The 11571-nt window shown below is 40.6% G+C and overlaps 1 annotated feature.

Annotated features, from left to right (window-relative positions):
- Positions 2012–2512: an enhancer, noted in NCBI's record as "H3K27ac hESC enhancer chr12:83694145-83694645 (GRCh37/hg19 assembly coordinates)". NCBI's record gives its function as "activates a minimal SCP1, AML or CMV promoter by ChIP-STARR-seq in primed H9 embryonic stem cells {active_cell/tissue: H9 hESC(primed)}" and the evidence as "EXISTENCE:reporter gene assay evidence [ECO:0000049][PMID:30033119]".

Genomic DNA, 11571 nt, shown 5'->3' on the forward strand with positions numbered 1-11571 from the left:
CATTCTAATTTCTGTATGTATTTTTTTGCAATAGTTTTAGAACCTGAAACAGAGACTGACAAGTAATAAATATTAAGTGAGTGAATAAAGCAGTAAATTATCAGTACTTTAGCTGTAGATACCCATTGGAAAATTTGTCATTAGATAGCATTTTTGTTTGGATAGATGGTCTCTCTTGCCTCAAATTAAAGAATCAAATTGACAAGCAACCAATTAAACTCATAAATAAAGCTTTCTACTTTAAAATTCAAAATTGATGATGTAGTGTCAGGAATACAACATGATCTATAACATTAAATTATGTTATCAACTGAATTTTAATGGTTGTATGGTCTTTTCCCACTTAATATATAAATTTGTTTTGGTTTATAGTTATATAGAGTATCTATAAAGCATTTATAAGTACCTATGGTTGTTAAATATTGTCCTTGAAGGAATGAGAAAACTAACCTGTTAGACTCACTTTTGAAGGTCACTGCAGACTGTAAAGGGCAAAGAGTGACATTTATTGTGAGTGCATGAATGGAGTGGCATAGCCTTCAGAGTCATGAATGAGGATGAAGAAAACTCAGTGAGCCATATTGCTGTTTGTATGTTCTGTCTCTGCTTCCTGAAAAGCACTGGAACATTTCTTTTTTACTTTTCAGAGATTGCATAAACTGAGAGCAGAAGGGAGCATTTTTCCTTATTGTTCTGCTATGATTAGAAATAATCAATTTAGAAATGGAGATTGAAAGCATTAAAAAATCATAGTTTAAAGGCAGAAGTATTCATAATAAAAATACAGTAATCCAGAGTATTTTTGAGCACCAAATGTGAGCCTGCTACTATTGTAGGCACTTGGATCTGGCAGTGTAGACAACAACCCCCCTCACCCTATGGATTGATATTTCTTTCTACCTGAAGAAAGAGAAGGGAGGAAAGAATACTCAAATGATAATTTGGAATTGTGCCCACTCTGATGCTAATTAGCTTTTGACATTGTCAGGCATTTTACCTTTGCTTACTCATTCATAGAATGTTTTGAAGTTGTACTTTTTATTTGGAAATAATTTCAAACTTATAGAAAAGTTATAAGAACAGTACAGAGCATTTGCTGGAAAGATGACCGAATAGGAACAGCTCTGATTTGTAGCTCCCAGCTAGCTCAACGCAGAAGGTAGATGATTTCTGCATCTCCAATTGAGGTACCCAATTCATCTCATTGGGACGGTTTGGACAGTGGGTGCAGCCCATGGAGGGTGAGCTGAAGCAGGGTGGGGCATTGCCTCACCCAGGAAGTGCAAGGGGTTGGGGGATTTTGCCCCTCTAGCCAAGGGAAGCCATGAGGGACTGTTCCCTGAGGAATGGTGCACTCTTGCCTAGATACTGCGCTTTTTCCGTGGTCTTTGCAACCTGCAGACCGGGAGATTCCCTCTGGTGCCTATGCCACCAGGGCCCAGGGTTTCAAGCACAAAACTGGGCGGTCCTTTGGGCAGAAATGGAGCTAGCTGTGGGAGATTATTTTCATACCCCAGTGGCACCAGGAACACCAGTGAGACAGAACCGTTCACTCCCCTGGAGAGGGGGCTGAAGCCAGGCAGCCAAGTAGTCTGGCTTGGTGGATCCCACCCCCAGGGAGCCCAGCAAGCTAAGATCCACTGGCTTGAAATTCTCACTGCCAGCACAGTAGTCTGAGGTCGACCTTGGACACTTGAGCTTGGTGAGGGAGGGGCGTCTGCCATTACTGAGGCTTGAGTAGGTGGTTTTACCCTCACAGTGTAAAAAAAGCTTTTGGGAAGTTGGAACTGGGTGGAGCCCACCGCAGCTCAGCAAGGCCACTGTGCCCAGAATGCCTCTCTAGATTCCTCCTCTCTGAGCAGGGCGTCTCTGAAAAAAAGGCAGCAGCCCCAGTCAGGGGCTTATAGATTAAACCCCCAACTCCCTGGGACAGAGCACCTGGGGGAAGGGGTGGCTGTGGGTGCAGCTTCAACAGACTTAAACGTTCCTGCCTGCTGGCTCTGAAGAGAGCAGTGGATCTCCCAGAACAGCGTTCAAGCTCTGCTAAGGGTCAGACTGCCCCCTCAAGTGGGTCCCTGACCCCCATGTATCCTGACTGGGAGACACCACCCAGTAGGGACCGACAGACACCTCATACAGGAGAGCTCTGGCTGGCATCTGATGGGTGCCCCTCTGGGATGAAGCTTCCAGAGGAAGGAATAGACAGCAATCTTTGCTGTTCTGCAGCCTCCACTGGTGAGACCCAGGCAAACAGGGTCTGGAGTGGACCTCCAGCAAACTGTAGCAGACCTGCAGCAGAGGGCCTAACTGTTAGAAGGAAAACTAACAAACAGAAAGGAATAGCATTAACATCAACCAAAGGAACGCCCACTCAGAGAACCCATCTGAAGGTCACGAACATCAAAGACCAAAGGTAGATAAATCCACAAAGATGGGGAGAAACCACCACAAAAAGGCTGAAAATTCCAAAAACCAGAATGTCTCTTTTCCTCCAAAGGATCACAACTCCTCACCAACAAGGGAACAAAACTGGGTGGAGAATGAGTTTGATAAATTGATAGAAGTAGGCTTCAGAAGGTGGGTAATAACAAACTCCTCTGAGCTAAAGGAGCATGTTCTAACCCAATGCAAGGAAGCTAAGAATCTGGGAAAAAGGTTAGACGAATTGCTGACTAGAATAACCAGTTTAGAGAAGAACATAAATGACCTGGTGGAACTGAAAAACATGGCATGAGAACTTCGTGAAGCATGCACAAGTATCAGTAAGCGAATCGATCAAGCGGAAGAGAGAATATCAGAGATTGAAGAACATCTTACTGAAAGAAAGTGAGAAGACAAGACTAGAGAAAAAAGAATGAAAAGAAATGAACAAAGCCTCCAAGAAATATGGGACTATGTGAAAAGACCAAATCTATGTTTGATTGGTGTACCAGAAAGTTGACGGGGAGAATGGGACCAAGTTGGAAAACACTCTTCAGGATATTTTCCAGGAGAACTTCCCCAACCTAGCAAGAGAGGCCAACATTCAAACTCTGGAAATACAGAGAACAGCACAAGGTACTCCTTGAAAAGAGCAACCCAAGACATACTTGTCAGATTCACTAAGGTTGAAAAGAAGGAAAAAATGTTAAGGGTACCCAGAGAGAAAGGTTGGGTTACCCACAAAGCCCATTAGACTAACAGTGGATCTCTCAGAAGAAACTCTACAAGCCAGAAAAGAGGGGAGCCAATATTTAACATTCTTAAAGAAAAGAATTTTCAACCCAGAACTTCATATCCAGCCAAACTAATCTTCATAAACGAAGGAGAAACGAAATCCTTTACAGATAAGCAAATGCTGAGAGATTTTGTAACCACCAGGCCTGCCTTACAAGAGTTCCTGAAGGAAGCACTAAACATGGAAAGGAACAACAGAGACCAGCCACTGCAAAAACATACCAAATTGTAAAGACCATCAACACTATGAAGAAACTGCATCAACTAATGGGCAAAATAATCAGCTAGCATCATAATGACAGGATCACACACATAACAATATTAACCTTAAATGTAAATGGGCTAAATGCCCCAATAAAAAGACACGGACTGGCAAATTGGTTAAACAGTCAAGACCCATAGGTGTGCTGGAGACCCATCTTACATGCAAAGACAAACATAGGCTCAAAATAAAGAGATGGAGGAATATTTACCAAACAAATAGAAAGCAGAAAAAAAAGGAAGAGTTGCAATCCTAGTCTCTGATAAAACAGACTTCAAACCAACAAAGATCAAAAAAGACAAAAAAGGGCATTACATAATGGTAAAGGAAGCAATGCAACAAGAAGAGCTCAATATCCTAAATGTATATGCAACCAATACATTAGAACCCAGATTCATAAAGCAAGTCCTTAGAAACCTACAAAGAGACTTAGGCTGCCATACAGTAATAGTGGGAGATTTTAACACTGCACTGTCATATTAGACAGACCAACAAGAAAGAAAATTAACAAGGATATTCGGGACTTGAACTCAGTTCTGGAGCAAGTGGACCTGATAGACATCTACAGAACTCACCACCCCAAATCAACAGAATATACATCCTTCTCAGCACCACATCACACTTATTCTAAAACTGACCACATAATTGGAAGTAAAGCACTCCTCGGCAAATGCAAAAAAATGGAATTCACAACAAACACCCTCTCAGACCACAGTGCAATCAAATTAGAACTCAGGATTAAGAAACTCACTCAAAACCACACAACTACATGGAAACTGAACAACCTGCTCCTGAATAACTACTGGGTAAATAACGAAATGAAAGCGGAAATAAAGATGTTCTTTGAAACCCATGAGGGCAAAGATGCAATGTACCAGAATCTCTGGGACACAATTAAAGCAGTGTGTACAGGGAAATTTATAGCACTAAATGCCCACAAGAGAAAGCAGGAAACATCTAAAATCGACACCCTAACATCACAATTAAAAGAACTAGAGAAGGATGAGCAAACAAATTCAAAAGCTAGGAGAAGAGAAGAAATAACTAAGATCAGAGCAGAACTGTAGGAGGTAGAGACACAAAAAACCCTTAAAAAATCAATGAATCCAGAAGCCGGTTTTTTGAAAAGATCAACAGAATATATCGCTAGCCAGACTAATAAAGAAGAAAAGAGAGAAGAAGCAAATAGATGCAATAAAAAATGAGAAAGGGGATATCACCACTGATCACACAGAAATACAAACTACCATCAGAGAATACTATAAACACCTCTATGCAAATAAACTAGAAAATCTAGAAGAAATGGATAAATTCCTGGACACATACACCCTCCCAAGTCTAAACCATGAAGAAGTCGAATCCCTGAATATACCAATAACAAGTTCTGAAATTGAAGCAGTGATTAATAGCCTACCAACCAAAAAAAGTTCAGAACCAGATGGATTCACAGCCAAACTCTACCAGAGGTACAAACAGGAGCTGGTACCATTCCTTCTGAAACTATTCCAAACAATAGAAGAAGAGGGAATCCTCCCTGACTCATTTTATGAGGCCAGTATCATCCTGATACCAAAACCTGACAGAGACACAAGAAAAAAAAGAAAATTTCAGGCCAATATCCCTGAAAACGTTGATGTGAAAATCCTCAGTAAAATACTGGCAAACCGAATCCAGCAGCACATCAAAAAGCTTGTCCACCACGATCAAGTTGGCTTCATTCCTGGGATGCAAGACTGGTTCAACATATGCAAGTCAATAAACGTAATCTCTCACATAAACAGAACCAATGAGAAAAACCACATGATTATCTCAATAGATGCAGAAAATGCCTTTGACAAAATTCAACACCCATTCATGCTAAAAATCTCAGTAAACTAGGTATTGATGGAACAAACCTCAAAATAATAAGACCTATTTATGACAAACCCACAGCCAATACCATACTGAATGGGCAAAAACTGGAAGCAATCCCTTTGAAAATCGGCACAAGAAAAGGATGCCCTCTCTCACCACTCCTATTCAACATAATATTGGAAGTTCTGGCCAGGGCAATCAGGCAAGAGTAAGAAATAAAGGGTATTCAATTAGGAAAAAAGGAAGTCAAATTGTCTCTGTTTGCAGATGATATGATTGTATATTTAGAAAACCCCATTATCTCAGCCCCAAATCTCCTTAAGCTGATAAGCAACTTCAGTGAAGTCTCAGGATACAAAGTCAATGTGCAAAAATCACAAGCATTCCTATACACCAAGAACAGACAGAGAGCCAAATAATGAATGAACTCCCATTCACAATTGCTACAAAGCAAATAAAATACATAGGAATCCAACTTACAAGGGGTGTGAAGGACCTCTTCAAGGAGAACTACAAACAACTGCTCAACAAAATAAAAGAGGACAAAAACAAATGGAAAAACATTCCATGCTCATGGATAGGAAGAATCAATATCATGAAAATGACCATATTGCCCAAAGTAATTTATAGATTCAATGCTATTCTTATCAAGTTACCATTGACTTTTTCACAGAATTGGAAGAAACTACTTTAAAATTCATATGGAACCAAAAAAGACCCCGCATTGCCAAGACATTTCTAAGCAAAAAGAACAAAGCTGGAGGCATCACACTACCTGAGTTCAAACTATAGTACATGGCTACAATAATCAGAACAGCATGGTACTGGTACCGAAACAGAGATATAGACCAATGGAACAGAACAAAGGCCTCAGAAATACCACACATCTACAACCATCTGACCTTTGACAAATCTGACAAAAGCAAGCAGTGGGGAAATGATTCTCTATTTAATAAATTGTGTTGGGAAAATGGGTTGGCCATATGCAGAAAACTGAAACTGGACCACTTCCTTACATCTTATACAAAAATTAACTCAAGATGAACTAAAGACTTAAATATATAAGACCTAAAACCATAAAAACCCTAGAAGAAAACCTAGGCAATACCATTCAGGACATAGACATGGGTAAAGATTTCATGACTAAAACACCAAAAGCATTGGCAACAAAGGCAAAATTGACAAAAGGGTTCTAATTTAACTAAAGCACTTCTGCACAGCAGAAGAAACTGTCATCAGAGTAAACAGGCAGACTATAGAATGGGATAATTTTCACAATCTATCCATCTGACAAAGGGCTAATATCCAGAATCTATAAAAAACTTAAACAAATTTACAAGTAAAAAACGACCCTACTGAAAAGTGGGTGAAGGATCTGAACAGACACTTATCAAAAGAAGACATTTATGTAGCCAACAAACATATGAAAAAAAGCTCAACATCACTGGTTATTAGAGAAATGCAAATCAAAACCACAATGAGATTCTATCTCATGCCAGATAGAATGGTGATCATTAAAAAGTCAGGAAACAACAGATGCTAGAGAGGTTGTGGAGAAATAGGAATGCTTTTACACTGTTGGTTGGAGTGTAAATCAGTTCAACAATTGTGGAAGACAGTGTGGCAATTCCTCAAGGATCTAGAACCAGAAATACCGTTTGGCCCAGCAATCTCATTACTGGGTATATACCCAAAGGATTATAAATCATTCTACTCTAAAGACATATGCACACATATGTTTATTGCAGCACTCTTCACAATAGCAAAGACTTAGAACTAACCCAAATGCCCATCAATGATAGACTGGATAAAGAAAATGTGGCATGTATACACCATGGAATACTATGCAGCCATAAAAAAGGATGAGTTCATGTCCTTTGCAGGGACATGGGTGAAGTTGGATACCATCATTCTCTGCAAACCAACAGAAGAACCGAAATCCAAACACCGCATGTTCTCTGTTGTAAGTGGGAGGTGAAAAATGAGAACACATGGACATGGAGGGGAATATCACACATGGGGGCCTGTTGGGGGGTGGGGTGTTAGGGGAGGGATAACATTAGGCAGTATACCTAATGTAGATGATGGGTTGATGGGTGCAGCAAACCACCATGGCATGTGTATACCTATGTAACAAACCTGCACGTTCTGCACATGTATCCCAGAACTGAAAGTATAATAATAATAATAATAATAAAAGAACAGTACAGAAAACTCTCATACCCAAACTTATTAAAAAAAAGTCTTCACTAACTATTGAAATAATGTCTTTTATAACAAAATGATATAATCCAGGATCTCATGTTGTATGAAGTTGACATGTCTTTTCAGTACTCTTCTATATAGAAATGTTCTTCAATCCTTCCTTGTCTTTCTTAACTGATATGGTTTGGCTGTGTCTCCACCCAAATCTCATCTTGATTTGTAGTTCCCGTAGTACCCAAGTGTCATAGGAGGAACCCTATGGGAGATAGTTGAACCATGAGGGCAGTTTCCACCATGCTGTTCTCATGATAGTGAGTTCTCATGAGATCTGATGGTTTTATAAGGGGCTTCCTCCTTTGTTTGCCATGGCAGTCATTCTCTCTCCTGCTGCCTTATGAAGAGGTGCCTTCTGCCATGAGTGTAAGTTTCCTGAGGCCTCCCCAGGCATGCTGAACTGTGAGTCAATTAAACTTCTTTCCTTTATGAAATACCCAGTCTCAGGTATGTCCCTATAGCAGTATGAGAACAGACTAATACAGTAAATTGGTACCCCAGAGAGTGGGGTGCTGTTATAAGGATACCTGAAAACGTGGAAGTGACTTTGGAACTGGGTAACTGGCAGATGTTGGAACAGTTTGGAGGGCTCAGAAGAAGACGGGAAAATGTGGGAACCTTTGAAACTTCTTAGAGACTTGGAGGCCTCAGAAGACAGGAAGATATTAGAAGGTTTGGGGCTTCCTAGAGACATGTTAAATGGCTTTGAGCAAAATGCTGATAGTGATATGGAAAATGAGGTCCTGGCTGAGGTGGTCTCAGATGGAGATGAGAAACTTGTTGAGAACTGGAGTAAAGGCCAGTTTTGATATGCAAAGAGACTGGCAGCATTTTGCCCCTGCCCAAAATTTGTGGAACTTCAAACTTGAGAAAGATGATTTAGGATATCTGGTGGAAGAAATGTCTAAATGGCAAAGTGTTCAAGAGGAAGCACAGTATAAATGTTTGGAAAATTTGCAGCCTGATGATGCAATAGAAAAAAATCCCATTTTCTGGGGATAAATTCAACCCTGCTGCAGAAATTTGCATAATTAATGAGAAGCCAAATGTTAATGGGGGAAAATGTCTCCAGGATAGGTTAGAGACCTTCATAGTAGCTCCTCCCATCACAAGCCCAGAGGCCTAGGAGGGTAAAATGATTTCCTGGGCTTGCTCCAGGACCCCCTGCTGTGTGCAGCCTGGCGACTTGGTGCCCTGCATCCCAGCTGCTCCAGCTGTGGCTAAAAGGGGCTGAGGTACAGCTCAGACCATTGTTCAGAGGATGGAAGCCCCAAGCCTTGGCAGCTTCCACATGGTGTTGAGCCTGTGGGTCCACAGAAGTCAATAATTGAAGTTTGGGAATCTCCACCTAGATTTCAGAAGATGTATGAAAATGCCTGGATGTCCAAGCAGAAATTTGCTGCAGGGGCAGAGCCCTCATGGCAAACCTCTTCTAGGGCAGTGCAGAAGGGAAATGTGGGGTTGGAGCCCCCATACAGAGTACCCACTGGGTCACTGCCTAGTGGAGCTTTGAGAAGTAGGCCACTATCCTCCAGACCCCAGAATGGTAGCTCCACCAACAGCTGGCACTGGGTGCCTGGAAAAGCCACAGACACTCAATGCCAGTGTGAAAGCAGCCATGAAGGGATTATATACCCTGCAAAGCCAAAGAGGTGGAGCTGCCCAAGGTGTGGGAACCTACCTCTTGCATCAGCATGACCTGGATGTGAGACATGAAGTCAAAGAAGATCATTTTGGGACTTTAAGGTTTAGTGACTGCCCTATTGCATTTCAAACTTTCATGGGGCCTATAGCCCCTTGTTTTGGCTAATTTCTCCATTTGGGATGGGTGTATTTACCAATGCCCATACCCCTGTTGTACCTAGGAAGTAACTAACTTGCTTTTGATTTTACAGGTTCATAGGCAGAAGGGACTTTCCTTGTCTCAGATGAGACTTTGGACTTGGACTTTTGAGTTAATGCTGGAGCGAGTTAAGAATTTGGGGGACTGTTGGAAGGGCATGATTGTGTCTTGTAATGTGAGAACATGAGATTTAGGAGGGGTTGGGGGTGGAATGATATGGTTTGGCTGTGTCCCCACCCAATTTGGCTGTGTCCCCACCCAAATCTCATCTTTAATTGTATTTCCCATAATCTCCATGTGTCATGGGAGGGACCTGGTGGGAGGTAATTGAATCATGCAGGTGGTTTTCCTCATGCTGCTCATGCTGTTCTCATGATAGTGAGTGAGTTCTCATGAGATTTGATGGCTTTATAAGGGGCTTCCCACTTCACTTGGCATTCATTTCTCTCCTGCTGCCCTGTGAAGAGGTGCCTTCCACCATGATTGTATGTTTCCTGAGGCCTCACTAGCCACGTGGAACTGTGAGTCAATCAAACCTCTTTTCTTTAGAAATCATCCAGTCTTGGGTATTTCTTCACAGCAGCATGAGTAGGGACTAATACAATGACCTTCAGATGTTTGAAGATTACAGGCTAATTATTTTGCAGAATTTTGCGTTGTCTGGTGTTTCCTCTTATTATATTCAAATTAGGAATGTCATAGGAGTGATTCTGTGCCCTTTTCACTGCATTCCCTCAGGTGGTACATGAGGTTATTTCATTCTGTCACTGGTAATGTTAACTTTGACCACTCGAGGAAGGTCATAATCATCCATGTTTCTCTACTGCAAGGCTGTTCTTTTCTTTTTTTAAAAAAAATAAACATTTTTTTCTTTTCTTCTTTTTTTATTTTTATTTTTAAATAGATAGGTGAGACTCCAACTACTGGACCTAGTGATCATCTCAGCCCTCAGCCTCCTGTGTAACTGAAAGTCCAGGTGCACACCACTGTGCCTGCTTCGTTCTTTTCTCTTTCATAATTTGTTCGTGTTTTGCAGGAAAATACTTTGACACTACATATACATCCCATTCTTCATTCCACCCAATAGTTTTAACAAGTTTTGTTGATGTTTCTCATGCGAATTATTATGAATGTAGTTGACAAGCAGTGATTTTCAAATTTCATCATCTCTTTTACATTTATTAGTTGTAATTTTACTATTTGGTAAACCTTATCCTCCCTTCCTCCCTCCCCCTTTCTTTCATCATTGTAGACTTATGGATTCCTATTTTATTCAGTGGGATAGAATATATTATTATCACTAAGTATTTCAATAGTAAATTATCCCAGGTTTGGCCAGTAGAAACCCCCTTCAAGCTGGCTTCTACATCTGCCGGGGTCCTAACATTCTTTATGTATTTCCTTAATATCTGGCATAACACATTCCAGTCTTATTTTGTGATTTTCTTGGTCTCGTCCTAAAGTTAGCTATTATAATCCAAGGAGCCCTGGCAGGTCTTAGTGATGTGTATACTCATTGCTGTGGGGTATCACTGTTCCGAGACCCTCTCAGTGTACAGTGGATCTCTATATCTTATCTGAATTTATATCTATATCTTCTAGGCTTAGGCTTTCATATTTATAACATTTCATTTTCAGTGAGAAAATTGGACTCCATTCTCAATTTTTTTTATTTGTTCAATTTCAAAATCCTCATGGGTTGCCATCCCACTTGGGGGCCTACCTTCCCTCAATTCCTGCCAGTCCTTGCTTCTTTCTGACTAGGACCTTCTTATGGCTTTTTGACTGCATTATTAAGAAGAAGAGAAAGAAGGAAGAAGGAAGGAAGAACGGAGAATACTAATTTTGCACAAGGACAATAGGGGCTATGAGGATTTTTCCAACTAGGGTAAAAGGTATTTAATTTTGCAGGGTTATATAGTGATAATGGGTTAATAATGTGATGCCATATTAATAAAGTGAAACACAGAATATATTTTCAGTTTCTATATGTGTACCTTCAGCTGCCTTGTTCCTTAAAATCTAACATTCTTTTCTAGCACCAACAGAAGTGTCTTTGGATGCTACATTTTCTGTCCACACTGTTTTTCAGTCTTTAAAGCAGAAATAAACAAATATGTGGAATTCTTGATTTCAT

The sequence above is a fragment of the Homo sapiens genome, chromosome 12 (genome assembly GCF_000001405.40).
Source record: "Homo sapiens chromosome 12, GRCh38.p14 Primary Assembly".
NCBI lineage: Eukaryota > Metazoa > Chordata > Mammalia > Primates > Hominidae > Homo > Homo sapiens.